This window comes from Homo sapiens, chromosome 11 (assembly GCF_000001405.40).
Source record: "Homo sapiens chromosome 11, GRCh38.p14 Primary Assembly".
NCBI lineage: Eukaryota > Metazoa > Chordata > Mammalia > Primates > Hominidae > Homo > Homo sapiens.
Window position 1 is genome coordinate 102,072,456 of NC_000011.10, and position 17,396 is coordinate 102,089,851.

The 17,396-nt window shown below is 40.5% G+C and overlaps 1 protein-coding gene across 9 annotated transcripts in view, besides 1 other annotated feature; it reads left to right on the forward strand.

Moving 5' to 3' along the window:
- Positions 1-12,099, forward strand: part of CFAP300 (cilia and flagella associated protein 300) — a 37,118-nt gene extending 25,019 nt beyond the window's left edge. For 2 of the 9 annotated variants that reach the window (NM_001441268.1, NM_001195005.2), the window contains one exon: positions 3,418-3,656. In NM_001441268.1, the coding sequence (NP_001428197.1) occupies positions 3,418-3,594 (177 nt within the window). In that variant the 3' untranslated portion in view covers positions 3,595-3,656. Of the gene's footprint in view, positions 1-3,417; positions 3,657-8,759; positions 8,979-10,615 lie in introns of those variants that run through there. The other 7 variants (NM_032930.3, NM_001441267.1, NM_001441265.1 and 4 more) reach the window with 7 other exon arrangements.
- Positions 13,326-13,827: an enhancer, noted in NCBI's record as "NANOG hESC enhancer chr11:101956512-101957013 (GRCh37/hg19 assembly coordinates)". NCBI's record gives its function as "activates a minimal SCP1, AML or CMV promoter by ChIP-STARR-seq in naive H9 embryonic stem cells {active_cell/tissue: H9 hESC(naive)}" and the evidence as "EXISTENCE:reporter gene assay evidence [ECO:0000049][PMID:30033119]".

Genomic DNA, 17,396 nt, shown 5'->3' on the forward strand with positions numbered 1-17,396 from the left:
TTTTTTGAGAGAATTTTTTTTTTTAGGACTAGAGACAGGGTTTCACCATGTTGCCCAGGCTGGTCTCAAACTCTTGGGCTCAAGTGATCCACCCACCTCAGCCTCCCAAAGTTTTGGGATTACAGGTGTGAGGTACCATGCCTGGCCATATCATTATTTTGAATTTTTTTCTTATAGCTCATAAATTTATTTTTTATTAAATCTGTTGCTAGAGAATTATTGTGTTCCTTTGGAGGTGTCATCTTTTCTTCCTTTTTCATATTTCTTGTGTCCTTATATTAATATCTGTGCATCTAGTCACTTCTTTGAATTTATTGGATTGGCTTTTTTAGGAGAAGACTTTTTCCCGAAGATGTACTTACGGTGTTCGTTGGGTAGAGCATTTTGGTTTTGATTCTGGGTGTATGCAGTAGTGTAGTCTCCATATGATTTATTCAGGTGTACTTGGCATCACTGGTGTCTGTGTTTTCCTCAGTGGCTTAGGTTGCAATTGTTAGTAGAGGCTGGGGTGAGGTTTTGCTGGGGACAGGTAGGCCAGTTTTTGGGCCCCAGTAGTGGCAGCAGCTGGCCAAAGCACACCTGTCCTTGGGCCCCTGAGCAGTGTAGGCAGGCAGTGGTGTTAGCAGGTCCAAGCAGGCTGATTCTTGGGCCTCCACGCAGCTTGCTCATGTGCCAGCAGTGTTAGTGGTGGGCTGGGTGTGTGGATGTGTGTTTGGGTCCTCAGGCAGTGTGCATTAAATGGATGATGGCTGTAGCAGTGGTGGGACAACTTTTGGGTTCCCAAGCAATACACACTTATATTAGTGGTGGCTGTGATGTGCTAGGCAGGCCAATCCCCAGGCCCCCAGGGAGCAAGTATGGGTGGGTTCCAGCTGCTATGGTGGTAGCCAGTTGAGTAGGCCTGTGCTCAGATCCCCAAGAGGAGCACCCAGATGTCAGCAGTGGTGGAGGGGACGGGGCAAACCCCAGAGTCCTGGGTGTGCTTGGGCACTGGATGGGGGACAGTGCCAGGCCAGAGGGGCTGTCCTCAGGTCCTCCAGTGGTACATTCAGGCGGATCCTCTTGTGAGTTGGGCAGGGTGATCCTCAAGCCCCCTAGCAAAGTGCTCAGATGGAAGCAGCATGGGCAATGAGTGGAGAAAGCTCATCCTGAGGGCATGTGCAAGGGAGCTGTGGCCCTGCTGCATGGGGTGGGGTGGGGTTGCTGTCAGTGGCTGCAGCCACTGGCAGGCGGCTCTTGGGTTCTGGAGAGCACACATTTCAGCCCCCAGCAACAGTGGCCATGGCAGTAGTGGCAGCAACAGTAGGGAGAGCCAGTCTTCAGGGCACATGCAAGTGTGTAGTGGCCCTGCTACCAAGGGAATGGGGGGTACAAGGTTGCTGCCAGTGGCATATGTTTCAGCCCCTCAGCTGTGGGTGGGAGATCCCATCTTCAGGGAACATGCAAGTGCGTGGTAGACCTCCTGCTGGTGGTGGCAAGGTTGCTATCAGTGACAGCGGCCCCAGGTAAGTGGGTTTCAGGCTCTGGGGAACACATACTTTGTCTCCCTTTGTCTCAAGGGCAGCCTCCTCAGTGTACTGCGTCACTCATTCCCTGGGGTACAAGACACCATGCAGAGTCCATGTGGACATTTGGGGATGTCATTGGGGCTCTAGGGATGTGGAGATGCAGGGACTTTTGGGCCCCAAGGAAGGATGCAGTCCGGTAGGAGTTGGATTCTCAAAATGGTGCCATCCTGCAGCTGCTTAGGACTTGGAGGTGGGGGAGGGGTGGTGGGAGCCAGCATGAGTTCCTCTCTGGAGCAGTGCCATTGTGTGGTCTCCAGGCAGCTGCCTATTACTAGTCTCTGGGCCCATGAGGGTTGAGGAGCTCTCCCATGGTGAGGATTGCAGGAGTCCACAGTAGAAATGTAGACTGCTGGGGTCTTTCACTTACCATTTTCCTGCATTGGGAAGCCTCTCCAGACTCCCAGCCAATCCCAGCTCCTTCTGTGCTTGTGTGTTTCCTGTCACCTCTCTGTTGAATTCCAGTATTCTCTCTTAGATGCCCTCTTTGAAGTGTGATTATCTACTTGCTATTTTGGTTCTACTTTGTTCAGGAAGTGAGTGCCAGATGCTTCTAGTCAACCATCTTGACATCCCTCCCATGTAAAGTTGTTTATATGTATTTTTTTTTCCACTTTATTTCTTGACCATAGTTTTTTTGTCCTTTATTATTTGGGTCTTATTATATCTATATTTTACTTTTAGTTATTTCACATTCTTTTTTTTTTTTTCCTCTGTCACCCAGGCTGGAGTGCAGTGGTGCAGTCACAGTTCGCTGCAGCTTCAATCATCTTCTGAGCTCAAGCAATCCTCCCACCTCAACCTCCTGATTCACTAGGGCTACAGGCATTCACCACCACGTCCAGCTTATTTTGGGGGGTGGTTTTAGTAGAGATGAGGTCTCACTGTGTTGCTCAGGCTGGCCTCAAGCTCCTGGCCTCAAGCGATCCTCCTGCCATGGCCTCCCAAAGTGCTGAGATTATAGGCACAAACCACCATGCCCAGCCTTCACATTCTATTTTTAAAATAGGGAGGCTGAGGCAAGAAGGTCACTTGAGCCCAGGAGTTTGACACCAGCCTGAGCAACATAGTGAGACTCCATCTCTAAAAAAAGAAAAAATAAAGTAGGTAGGATATAAACAATCCAGTGGAAAAAATATATGTTATATCTTACATTGGTCACCTTTTTATACCCACTACAATCGATAAATGAATCAGTGGTCTGTATTTCCCAATGGCATAAGAAAATCCCCTACATCGGATCTAGTTTTCTGCTTTCTGTATGAGGTAGCAAGACCTCAGAAGAGCAAGAGTCAGTGTCAATAGGTGATGTGTGAAGTGATCTTACTAGATGAGAGCAGGAAAGCGAGAGCTGGATATGAGGCTCCAGCACCTGAATGGTTCAAAAAGGAGTACTTGTGGGAGTAAGAACAATCGTGATCCAAAATCCATAAGAGGAGAGAGCTTAGAAAATGACCGTTTAGTCTCTGGGTAGAAGCCAAGACGGAGGCCTTATGGGATGGAGAAGTGTCCTCATTTATTTATGCTCCTATTTATTTCCAAATAAGATTTGAGGTGACATAACACTAAAACAATTACTAAAAATATAAACTAGAAAAAAGAAATAAAGTGGAAGGAGGGAAGACTTAGCCACTGTGTTTTAAATTTTGATTTGTTCTTTTCATTGAATGTCAGTTCCTAATGATAAAATAGAGGCAAATAAATGCAGATTACAGGTTACTCTCTTCAGTTGACTCAAGATTGGTTCTTAAAATAGGTGTAAGATTATTTTTAAGTCTATAAAATGAAACCTTTGAAAACAAAAGTAAAAATCTTGAGTTATGTTACATTAAGATGAATTTTATCGTCTTAGGTTTTGCTAGTGGAAGACTCAGAAAAATATGAAATATTCAGCCAACCAGATAGAGAAGAGTTCCTGTTTTGTCTTTTCAAACATCTTTGCCTTGGTGGAGCCCTTTGTCAATATGAGGATGTGATTAGCCCATATCTGGAAACAACAAAGCTTATCTATAAGGATCTGGTGAGGTAATGTTGCTAGATCACAATATGTAAATCTCTAGTTAATAGAATAAATTATTTGCTTAACCTTGATGGAATTACACAACATCATTCAGTGGTTATATTAACAACCAAAGCATATAAAAAGCTCTACCCTTACCCCCCTCTCATAACCTTCCCCCTCTCTTCCAGAATAGAAAGATTTCTGGATTTCTCTCTCATTTAGTTCTCAGTCCCCTCATTCTTCATCTAGCTCTTCTGCTTTTTTCCTCATTCAGACCTGTTACAAACTGCCATCTTCCAAGCCTTCTTTTTTTCTTACCAAGCCTCCTTTTAAATCTGAAGGGAACACAAGAGATCCCTCCAGATGTTTGAGTTTGCTTAACTAATAGTAAAAACAATTATTACCTTTGTTCCAAAGAAGTGGAAGAATTTTCACGTAGGTGTAATCTTTACCTTTTCAAATTAATCCCAGTGCTTATGCAGTTTGAAGTATTCTAGTAGCATTTTTCTTTTTGAAGATCAAATGAGAATTAAAACCTTACAAATTTCTTATTTGTACCTTTCTTTTAACTGAAATGAATGTTCTTTGGTTGGGTTTTTCAGTTATGAAGATATTGGATCATCTTAATAGGCAAAACAATAGAAAGCAAAAGATCTTAAAAGTTAGTTATATAATTTTACTTTAATAGGAGAAAACAAGAATTAGCTTCTCATTGGACTCATAATTGTTACTTTACTTATACTCAACACCTTAATTCTCATATCCATTCCATGTGTCATATAGCTATACAGCAAACTGCATAATTTAGTTATGCAATTAATTTATTTTATGGTTTTAAAAACAGAAAAATGTTTCTATAATCTCTCTGTGATTTTAATGAACAAGTTATTGTCAACACATACAGATTATTGGAAGAAGATATGTTAGAAACAGAATTTCAGAAAAAGCATACACATACCTATTAATATATCAAACATACTGTCCTAATTATTTGAAGTTCATGTAAACCTGCTAGACTGCTTCTAGCACTCCCTGAAGATACTTCTCTGTATACCCTACACATACACACACACACACACGCACTCATGCACGTACACACATACTACTACCACTACTACCACAACGCGTTGTACCCCATCCGCCACATGAACCTGTGGAATTCCTCACTACTGTGTGCTGTGGAGGAGGAGATTGTGTTGGAGATATTTGAAGTAGAAATAAGTTTAGAACCTACACATTGAAGAAACTGCTATTTTTCCCAACATTCCCTTCTCCAGATTCTCACCTGTGATTCTCTTCTACATTTTTGGATGCTAAGAAAAAGTATGACTGCTTTACAGTGTCTAACCTGCCCTTGCAGATAAATATTATTGCTAATCCATTCTAGCACAGTCCATCCCTTATGTTTGTACATGTTGGGAGCACACTACAGCGTGTGATTTTAGGAGTCTCTAACTCAAACAAAAGGGTAAAAATGTTATTAAAATATTTTCTTCCTCATCCATTATAACAGGTCCTATAAAACACACCTTTTTTATTTTTTAAATTTTAATCATTTATTTTTTGAGACGGAGTCTCACCGTGTCACCCAGGCCAGGCTGGAGTGCAGTGGCGCGATCTCAGCTCACTGCAACCTCCACCTCCTGGGTTCAAGGGATTCTCCTGCTTCAGTCTCCCAAGTAGCTGGGATTATAGGCACAAGCCACCATGCCTGGCTAATTTCTTTATTTTTCATAGAGACGGGGTTTTATCATTTTGGCCAGGCTGGTCTCAAACACCTGACCTCGGGTGATCTGCCCGCCTCAGCCTCCCAAAGTTCTGGGATCACAGGCGTGAGCCACTGCACCTGGCCTATTTTATTTATTTTTTATCTTTTTATTTTTTTTGAGACAGGGTCTCACTCTGTTGCCCAGGCTGAAGTACAGTGGCACAATCTCGACTCACTGCAACGTCTGCCTCCTGGGCTCACGTAGTCCTCCCACCTTAGCCTCCCGAATAGCTGGGATCACAAGCACACACCACTACACCTGGCTAAGTTTTTCATATTTTTTGTAGAGACAGGGTTTCACCATATTACCCAGGCTGGTCTCAAACTTCTGGACTCAGGTGATTCACCTGCCTCAGCCTCCCAAAGTGCTGGGATTACAGGTGTAAGCCGCCGCGCCCAGTCAGGTCCTTGTTTTTTAAAATGTGCAGAGTTACTTAGAATAGTCTGGACACCCCAGAGTTTAGAGTCAATATGGGACTGATCCTCAGAAATAATCGCAAATGACATTGACAAGAAACAACTATATTATGTCCAAACCATTAATATAATTACACTTTTAAAAAATATTATGTGGAAATTATGTTTCTTTATCCTTAAAAACCATGGTTATCAGAGGATGGAGTTAGTGATGGATAAAGATCTGATATAATGCAATTATTAGTAGAACACCATAGAGCACTAATCAATATCACTTTATATTTCCTTTTCCTTTTTTCTTAAGAGATATAGGACAGATGATAACTGTACTTTCTTGCTAGGCCTATAAAAAATTAGACAAATTATTTTAGAGATATTTTAAAGTAATACTAATGTAGGATCAGAGGCAACAGAATAATATGATTTCTTTCTATTAGAAACTAACGTCTAATAATGTACAAATGGTGGTTTCTTTCTAAAACAATTACTTGTTTTTGTTTTGTTTTTTTTTATTTTTTTGAGATGGAGTCTCACTCTATCGCCCAGGCTGGAATGCAGTGGTGCAATCTCGGCTCACTGCAACCTCCGCCTACCGAGTTCAAGCAATTCTCGTGCCTCAGCTTCCCCAGTAACTGGGACTACAGGCGCATGCCACCATGGCCCAGCTAATTTTTGTATTTTTTGTAGAGGCGGGGTTTCACCATGTTGGCCAGGCTGGTCTAGAACTCCTAACCTCAGGCAATCTGCCCACCTCGGCTACCCAAAGTGCTGGGATTACAGGTGTGAGCCACCGTGCCCGGCCGATATACTTGTGGTACATGTTTATATGTGTTAAGTGATTGTTCTGATATCAAATACTAAATTTTCCTCTAAACTGATTTGATGAACACTTTTACAAAGTTTTTTCTTTCCTCAGATTTTTAAACGGAAATAATTTATGTATAGTAAAATGAATAAATCATAAATATACATACAATTTGGTGAATCTTTATGTATGTTTATACCATATAACCACCCACAGATCAATACTTAGAATTAGATATAACCATAGATATGTTATTTATATTGACCTAGGTGATTATATAGGTGTATGCAAAGTATTTTATATATAGTGGTTATAGTCATCCCTTGGGTAAGCACAAAATCTTAAAAGTAGTATTCAACTTTTAAGCAGTATGTTAAGCAATAGAGAAATCAAAAGAAAATGAACTTGACCTATGTCATAGAAATATTTGGAAATCAATTTAATCCTGGGTTTAAGTCTAAATGAAATATCTAGTAGAGATGAAAACCACCTAAGATTGTTGAACCCTGAAATGGCTATGGCTGGTCATCCCCAAAAGGTACACAAGCTCAACCATACATACACACACACCGCTCAAACTGAGTCTTCCTTTTTCCTCCTCCTCTTCTTTCTTCTCTCCCTCTTCCAATTACTTTTACATATGTAGTAGATGGAGAAGCAATACTTACACCTAAAAAAGTAGAGAAGAGGGTATCTTTCTTTAAATTTTACCTATACATGTCACACATTAATAATACCTTTGATACCTATGTATTAAATATTTATAGAGTGTATAGGTCTGGGATGAGCAGCTGAGGTGTAACAGAAAGATGACTGGACTCTGAGTCACCTGTATTCTATTCCCAGAAATACCACTTTTATTTAGCTTATCTTAATTATAGCATTTAGCTTCTTTAGTTATATTGTCCATAAAATTGACAAAATAATGCCTACCTCAATGAGTTGTGTGATCTTTAAATGAGGTCATGTATATAAGGGTATTTTGGAGGCAGGGTGCAGTGGCCATCACCTGTAATCCCAGGACTTTGGGAGGCCAAAGCAGAAGGATCTCTTGAGGCCAGGGTTTCAAGACCAGCTTGGGCAATATAGCAAGACTTTGTCTCTACAAAAATAAAAAATAATAAAAAGTTAAAAATTGTGTAAAAAATGTTTTACAAACTGTAAGGCATTATAAATATAAAGTGTGTGTATATTTATTTATATATATGTAACAAATTATAAATATATGTCTGTAGCTTATTTTCTCAATCCTTAGTTTGCTTTCTCACTACATATTGCCATAGGAAATCTTTTGTGGGGAGAGTAACTGAAAGAAAACTACTGAAAAAAATTATTTTTAATATGATATAACTTAGCAATATATAATTTAACAAATAGTTGTTTGGGGTTTTTTGGGATTTGTTTGTTTGTTTGTTTGTTTTTGAGATGGAGTTTCGCTCCTGTTGCCCAGACTGGAGTGCAATGGTGCAATCTTGGCTCATCGCAACCTCCGCCTCCCAGGTTCAAGCGATTCTTCTGCCTCAGCCTCCCGAGTACCTGGGATTACAGGCTATGTTTTTGTATTTTTAGTAGAGACAGGGTTTCTCCATGTTGGTCAGGCTGGTCTCGAACTCCCGACCTCAGGTGATCTGCCTGCCTAGGCCTCCCAAAGTGCTGAGATTACAGCCATGAGCCACCGCGACCGGCCCACAAATAGTTTTTATATACATTATCTCATTTGATTTTCATATACTAAAAGGAACATATTATTCCCAATTTACATATGAGAAAATTGAGTCTCAGAAAGGTTAATCCTACTCAAAGTGAAAGAACTAGCATTTGTATTTACATTGTTTAAGTCTTCAGTCTATCATGCTTTTATCTACCCCGTATGGCTGTTTACACTTCAGTCTGATTTTTACAAATCCCTATTCATCCAATAATTGTCTCTGTAGCCTGGGAAGGTAATTTCATCATCTGAGTCTCAGACTGACCTTAAACCTTCTAACTGTAAGATTCAATTTTCTGCTATTTCAATTCAGTTGACCTTGCCCATTCTTGAATGAAGCCTCAGATGCCATTTTTTCAAACCACTTAGTTGGATAGTATGTATTTCCATGTTCTATATGAATAAGAACACTTAAATACTAAAAGGGATCATTACTTAAATGTATATGCCAATGCCTATTATATGTTAAAAGCACCTTTTCTTCCTTTTTTTAGTGTTCGAAAGAATCCTCAAACCAAGAAAATACAGATTACCTCTTCTGTCTTTAAAGTTTCAGCTTATGTAAGTGTGAGAGAACTTTTGCAACCAAAGAATTTAATTACTTTTTATTAATAGAGTTGTTACAACTGGAGTTAACAATCAGGACAATGTTATGCCTAGGAGAAAAGACAATGTTATTTAGAGTTTTGTTAAAATTAAAAGTTGATAGAGTATGCTTTTGTTTGGAGAACAATTTGAACTTTTTTCCCTGGCTTCCTTTCTGTCATCTGTATCTAATAACATTGCCTACTTATTTTAGAGCTAAATCTGTGACTCAGATAGAGTAGAACACAGTTCTCTTAGTCTGTCAAACCATCATTTATAGGGCAGATAAATAAGAATGCCACAAATGTCGCCGGGCCCGGTGGCTCACGCCTGTAATCCCATTTTAGGGGGCCGAGGCAGGCAGATCACGAGCTCAGGAGATCGAGACCATCCTGGCTAACACTGTGAAACCCCGTCTCTACTAAAAATACAAAAAATTAGCCGGGCATGGTGGCACGCGCCTGTAGTCCCAGCTTTGGGGAGGCTGAGGCAGGAGAATTGCTTGAACCTGGGAGGCGGAGGTTGCAGTGAGCCGAGATCATGCCACTGCACTCCAGACTGGGCAACAGAGCGAGACTCCATCTAAAAAAAAAAAAAAAAAAGAATGCCATAAATGTGTCTTTATACATAGAATCTGGTACTTGAATTTCAGTATTATACAAAAGATATTATTACATTCGAAGCAGTTTCTAAGTATCTTCATTCAATCACTTAACAAGTATTTATTAAATATATACTGTGTATCAGCTATTGTACTGGGCTAAGTCACAGTGATAAACAAAAGAAACATAGTCCCCACCCCGTGCAGTGGCTCATGCCTGTAATCCCAGCACTTTGAGAGGGCAGATCACTTGAGGTCGGGAGTTCAAAACCAGCCTGGCCAACATGGTAAAACCCCATCTCTACAAAAAATACAAAAAATTAGCCGGGTGTGGTGGGAGACGCCTGTAATCCCAGCTACTTGGGAGCCTGAGGTATGAGAATTGCTTGAACCCAGGAAGCAAAAGTTGCAGTGAGCTGTGGTGGTACCAATACTGTACTCCAGACTGGGCAAAAGAGTAAGACTCCAACTCCAAAAAAAATTTAAAAAAAAAAAGAGAAAACAAAGATAGAAAATTGCTAAATATAAAATTGTTGCAATATTAGCACTTTAAAAGCACTTTTTTTAAAATGATGGGATTTGTCTTTGGACTATAAATTCCTTAAAGACAAAAATTATGCATGTAAGTATAGTACATATGTATTCCTATCATAGTAGACTGTGCTGTCCATAAATATTTTAAATCATTAATTAACTGCCAATTTATTGTCAAAGATTTTATCCATGTTTCCTGTTTTGACAGAAAATACATAATAGGCAAATATATTGATTATCACTTAAATGTAGTTGTATACTAACTAATTTAGGATTGGCCGGGTGCTGTGTCTCAAGCCTGTAATCCCAGCCTTTTGGGAGGCCGAGACAGGTGGATCACAAAGTCAGGAGTTCAAGACTAGCCTGGCTAAGATGCTGAAACCCTGTCTCTACTAAAAACACAAAAATTAGCTGGGCATGGTGGCACATGCCTGTAATCCCAGCTACTCGGGAAGCTGAAGCAGGAGAATCACTTGAACCCGTGCGGCAGAGGTTGCAGTGAGCCGAGATCGCGCCACTGCACTCCAGCCTGGGCGACGGAGCAAGACTCTGTCTCAAAAAATAATAATAATAAATATATAAATACATAAATAAAATAAAATAATAATAATTTAGGTTTGTCTTTTTCAGGATTCTGCTGGTATGTGCTATCCTTCAGCAAAGAATCATGAACAGACATTTTCTTACTTTATTGTGGATCCTATCAGGCGTCACCTTCATGTTTTATACCACTGTTATGGTGTGGGAGACATGTCTTAATGTTCTTTCAGATTATGTACCTCTACTATTTTGTATTTATCATTTTTCTATCTTAATACTAACTTATAGATAAACATATACTTTGCAAATTAATTCAAGAAAAATGTAAGGAGCCTACTTAGAGCAGAAGAAAGCAAACACCAAGATGCCTTTTTAAAAATTTGTGTGGAATACTAACCGGGGATCAAATTTCATCCATAATAAAATCTATACCAAAAAAGTTGTGGAATTTTTACAGAAAGTTACAAGGAATTAGAAATCTAGTTCATATTTGTTGCATTGTGATTCAAGTGAATCCTCAATTTTCCATGTATTTTAATTTATAAGCTAATTAATTATGGATTGAAAATGTAGCAGAAAACTAAACATGTCTACCACTGATCATTAATATGAATTGTTAGTTTATTTAACTTGTTTCATTTAATTACATTTCTTCATTGCACAAGCGTTTACATCTGTAAAGCTAGGCAAAGCATAACAATTCTTTTGCTTCATTTGTTCCACTTATAAGCCTCAGTAAAGAAGTAACGTTCTGGGGCCTGGCACGGTGGCTCACGCCTGTAATCTCAGCACTTTGGGAGGCCAAGGCGGGCGGATCACGAGGTCAAGAGATCGAGACCATCCTGGCCAACATGGTGAAACCCCGTCTCTACCAAAAGTACAAAAATTAGCTGGCTGTGGTGGTGTGTGCCTGTAGTCCCAGCTACTCAGGAGGCTGAGGCAAGAGAATCACTTGAACCCGGGAAGTGAGGTTGCAGTGAGCCGAGGCTGTGCCACTGTACTCTAGCTCTGGCAACAGAGCAAGACTCCGTCTCAGAAAAAAAAAAGGTTCTGAAAGTGGTTGTAAACTCTTGTATCACATAATAAATTAAAACTGCAGCTGTCCCACGGCTAATACAAGAGCTACATGTAAACAGAGAAAGTTGCCTGATGGCATTAGTAAGTCGTTCAAAGAGTGAGAAGCAGGTTATCTTAGTACTGTTCCTTATTTCATTCATAGAATGAATGTATAACCTAGATTGTTTTTGGTTTATTTTGATGGCAAAAATCATTGACATATATCCCATGGGTCATGGGAAGCCTGTAAGAAATGTTGAGGTTTGAGGAGGAGCAAGTTTGAAAGATGTGTTTCTGTGTTGTGGGATAAAGACGATAATCTTGGACTTGAACCTGGATTTGAATCTGGAATGCAGCTGGCAATTTGGGTATAGAGCTCAGGAGAAAGAGTATGTTTTACTTCTAATACCTAACACAATGACTTGGCATATTAAATGTTTATTGAATGAATAACTACTTTCTAGATATCCTCATAATACCCATAGATTTTTTTAAATTACATAAAAACATAAAATCAAGAACTGAAATGTCTGTTTGCTACCAGCTTTGCTGCTTACCTCACAGTTCCCTATGACCTGGAGACCCTTTCGATCAATCAAGTGGCCAATCAGTAATTCTTTTTGAATACCAATTCTGTGCAAGGCACTGGGCAGTTTACTTTGGGGAAACATACACTCCCTATAAACCTATTTAGGAAGGTAATCTTTAAGAGTGTGACTACCAATAGTGATTGTTGCATGAATTCAGAGATAGAAGAGATCACTCTGAACTAAGATAGGCTTAGTCTGGCTTCTATGGAAAGACTGGTGGGATATCAGTAATGGAAGAGAACAGCAGTTGAAGGGAGCACATGATGTGGCGAGGTACTCTGGGCTTGGCCCTTGGATGAAAGTCCAGAGGCGAAAGATGGGAAAGTGATACTGAGGAATTGCCACTATTTTTTCTCCGCTCTAAAGGTGGAGGTAGATAGGACCTTTGAGGAAAGATTGCTCCATTGTTTTGGAAAAATCATTTGATGACTCATTTGTGATTATGCAAATTATCTGTATTATAAGGCATAATAGAGTAGTGATAAAGAGTTTGGGCTGGGCTGTCAGGTTGCCTGGATTTTTTAATTTGCCATTACTTGCTGTGTGACCTTGAGCTGGTTACTTAACTCTCTGCGCCTTAATTGTCTTTTCTATAAAATGGAAAAAAATAATAGGACTACCTCGCAGGGCACGGTGGCTAACGCCTGTAATCCCAGCACTTTGGGAGGCCAAGGCAGGCGGATCACGAGGCCAGGAGATCGAGACCATCCTGGCTAACACAGTGAAACCCCATCTCTACAACAAAATAACAAAAAAAAAAAAAAAAAAAAAAAAAAAAGAAAAATGAGCTGGGCGTACTGGTGGGAGCCTGTAGTCCCAGCTACTCAGGAGGCTGAGGCAGGAGAATGGCATGAACCCGGCAGGCGGAGGTTGCAGTGAGCTGAATCGCGCCACTGCACTCCGGCCTAGGCGAGAGAGCGAGACTCTATCTCAAAAAATAAAATAAAAATAAATAATAATAATAATAATAATAGGACTACCTCATAAGTTCCCTTTTTTGGAAAATTGTATTAATTAATACATATGTTGGTCTTTGAATGATGCCAGGCACATAGTTTAAGTGCTCATGAATTTTGGCTGCATTCTCTACTGAGGAAATATGAAGAAAAAAAAAGAGAAACAGTTAACTGTCTGCATAATAATGTAAAAAGCTGTCTTCTTGGGGCCAGAATTGCTTTTGTATAGATTATTATTAATTGACTGAAGAGATGGGAAAATTGGTTTTTCCTCTTTGGAGGCCCCAGAGAACGTAGAGGTCCTGAGCACGGACTCCAGGGATTTCTTTGGCAGCATTTGTACACTTGGAACTATTTGCGCAGCTATTTGTTATAATTTGTTTAATATCTTTCATGAAAACAAGTACTGTGTCCATTTTGTTTACCTTTGTGTCCACAATGCCTAGAACTTGAAAGACAATACATGCCTATTCTCTGACTAAGTACTGTTGGTAGAGAGAAACTGGCCTTTGAAGTGCAACTGTGGAGACTGTGGAAAGCGAGGGAGGAGGAAAGGTTGGTGCTGAGAGTTATAGATCATCAGCATGGAAGCCTCCTCTGCAGGGGCTGAGCTGGTGGACTCTAGCAGCCTTCATACCTACGTGCCCACCTTAAATTTACTGTACAGTCATCCCTCTAGTTATACTTCAACCTTTTGTTAAATTTTGCAAACTATTATAGTCTGGATTCATACTGTAGTCTGGATTTAGCTGCCCAGCATGGGATTAGATATGCAGCCCAGGAACATGCCTGTGGCAAAAATTGTCCCTAGAGAGCAGCAGCCGCAGCCTGTAGAAGCCGGCTTTGTAAAAGCAAACTGTGATCAAGTGAGAGAAGAGGGGTTGTCTGGAGTGAGACAACTGGCCATGGTGACAAGTGACCACAGAATGGCTTTCTGAGACTTTCTGAGAGCATTCTTCAAAAATTCCAAAAGTATCTAGAACTAGAAATACCATTTGACCCAGCCATCCCATTACTGGGTATATACCCAAAGGACTATAAATCATGCTGCTATAAAGACACATGCACACGTATGTTTATTGCGGCATTATTCACAATAGCAAAGACTTGGAACCAACCCAAATGTCCAACAATGATAGACTGGATTAAGAAAATGTGGCACATATACACCATGGAATACTATGCAGCCATAAAAAATGATGAGTTCACATCCTTTGTAGGGACATGGATGAAATTGGAAATCATCATTCTCAGTAAACTATCGCAAGAACAAAAAACCAAACAACACATATTCTCACTCATAGGTGGGAATTGAACAATGAGAACACATGGACACAGGAAGGGGAACGTCACACTCTGGGGACTGTTGTGGGGTCGGGGGAGGGAGGAGGGATAGCATTGGGAGATATACCTAATGCTAGATGACGAGTTAGTGGGTGCAGCGCACCAGCATGGCACATGTATACATATGTAACTAACCTGCACATTGTGCACATGTACCCTAAAACTTAAAGTGTAATAATAATAAATTTAAAAAAAAAATTCCAAAAGTAACTTAAAGAAGAGGGGTCTTGCAGAATTGTAATTTGGACGTTAAAAAGAGGGACTTAGAGAAGTTGGGATATTTAGATCACATGAGCAAAAATAAATTCAAAGATACAAAAACACAAGGTGATTTCGGGGGACATGAGTACATTTGAGTAGTTAAAACTAATAAGTTCTGTTCTGGAGTTCTGGATAATAACAGGGAAGATAGATTACTGGGGACTTGGTCACAGAGCTGTGGGCACAAAGCTAAGAAATTTAAATCTTTTAAGTAGGTGATGTATAGCAATCATTAAGGACTTTTGAATAGGGGTAGTAGCATCATGAAAGTGATATTCTAGAAAGATTAGTCCAGCAGTGATAAATTGGGGTGAAAAAGTCCAAAGTCCAAAGATCAAATAGAGGTACATAGTAGTTGTCAAAGCACAGAATTAACTGAACTTAGCTCATAGCAATGATAACTTCTCAAGGCATCATGAAGTATGGGACAACAGAATGCTCGATAGAAAAAAAAAATCAAATATGGCCCAAAAAAGGGTAGCCGACTGTGTGAATTATTAAATTTTGGTGTTTGAGGTACTAAGAACTGGGAAGTGGGAACTGTGGTAGGAAGCTGTGGTCAGAGAAGGAAGCTCCCTTGTCCTGAGTTCTCCTTGTATTCAGATTCACAGGTCTGTCACCCTTGTTCCAACTCATCTGCAACCAGCATTCGTCCTTAAAACTTTGAAAACTGGTCTGAAGGTTCTAGAAACTCACTGGAGGCTTCTTAAGGAAAACTATCTACCCTGAAGGCTTCTCAGTCATCCAGTTAATCAACAAGAATTTGTAAAGAACTAACATTCATTCTCATGCATCCCACAGGTGCTTTTTTTTTAAGTCGGAATCTCGCTCCATCACCCAAGCCTGAGTGCAGTGGCACGATCTCAGCTCACTGCAACCTTCACCTCCTGAGCTCAACCCATTCTCGGGATTCAGTCTCCCGAGTAGCTGGGCTACACGCGCGCGCTACCATGCCTGGCTAATTTTTGTATTTTTAGTAGAGATGGAGTTTCACAGTGTTGGCCAGGCTGGTCTTGAACTCTTGACCTCAAGTGATCTGCCCACCTTGGCCTCCCAAAGTGCTGGGATTACAGGTGTGAGCCACTACGCCCGGCCCCACAGATGCTTATTGATTACCTGTTATGTCCTGGCCACTTTCGAGGCACTGCAAATACACCAATGAACAAAAATTTCTAAATTAGGGAGCTTACATTCTAGTGCCCATAACTGTGTTAGGTGCAGTGAGAAAGAGAAAGACTCAATTACTCAAGAAAGTTGGTGTTGCTGGAGACATAAGGCATTCATACATGTTAGTATTACTAATAGTACAAGACAGCATGTGAGTATCGGATGCCTAGCAGAGACCGTAATGGCAAAAAAACTTCAGGAGAAGAAATCATGCCTGCGCGAAGTAGTCAGGAAATTATTCAAAATAGATCTGGGAGTCCTATTAGATAATGTTTGTGAAGAAACAAAGAATGGGGAAAGGTACCTTGAAGAAAGGCGAAAGTTAAGAAAGATTAAACTGTTCCACAGGCAGAAGTATATTTCCAAAGAAACCTAAAATAAAGTTTTGTAGGGATTTCCTTGTCTTTCTCCCTTGTATTAACCAAATGGTTAAAATACTATTTGGCAACAAATCAGATTACCTATTTATTTCTATTTTATACTAGCAGCGTTGTCTGACATTAATGACAGGAACAAACTAGCATCCCTTGTAAGTCAAAGGGTGTGCTTATAGTTCTGGAAGTAGAAAGACAGTATTATTGGGTTTTTTTTTTTTTTTTCAAGACGGAGTCTTGCCCTGTCACCCAGTCTGGAGTGCAATGGCACAATCTCAGCTCACTGCCACCTCCGCCTCCCGGGTTCAAGCGATTCTCTTGCCTCAGCCTCCCAAGTAGCTGGGATTACAGGCGCCTGCCACTGCGCCTGGCTAATTTTTGTAGCTTTAGTAGAGACAGGATTTCACCATGTTGGTCAGGCTGGTCTTGAACTCCTGACCTCAGGTGATCTGCCCGCTTCAGCCTCCCAAAGTGTGGGATTACAGGTGTGAGCCACCACACCCAGCCTGTTGTTATGTTTGTTTCTAGTCAAAGTTAGTGCTTGACATGTCTTACTTTATTTAATCTTCTCAACTACCCTTTCAAAGTAGGTTAAAAGTCAGTAGAATCTTTGGGGTTATAAGTGAAAGAAAATTTCATCCAAATTGTCTTAAGCAAAAAGTGAATGTATTAGCCCACATAACTGAAAAGTCCCATAGTAGTTTGGGTTGCTTTTTGGCCTGATTTAATGCAAGACCCGTTTTCTCTCTCAGTTCATATTCTCTCTGTTGACTCCATTCTTAGTTTGTGTCTTTCCACGTACAAAAATGTTAGTATACTTGGCCGGGCACAGTGGCTCACGCCTGTAATCCCAGCACTTTGGGAGGCCGAGGCGGGCGGATCACAAGGTCAGGAGATCGAGACCATTCTGTCTAACATGGTGAAACCTCATCTCTACTAAAAATACAAAAAATTAGCCGGGCGTGGTGGCGGGCGCCTGTGGTCCCAGCTACTTGGGAGGCTGAGGTAGGAGAATGGCATGAACCCGGGAGGCAGACCTTGCAGTGAGCCAAGATGGTGCCACTGCACTCCAGCCCAGGCAACAGTGTGAGACTCCGTCTCAAAAAAAAAAAAAAAAAAAAAA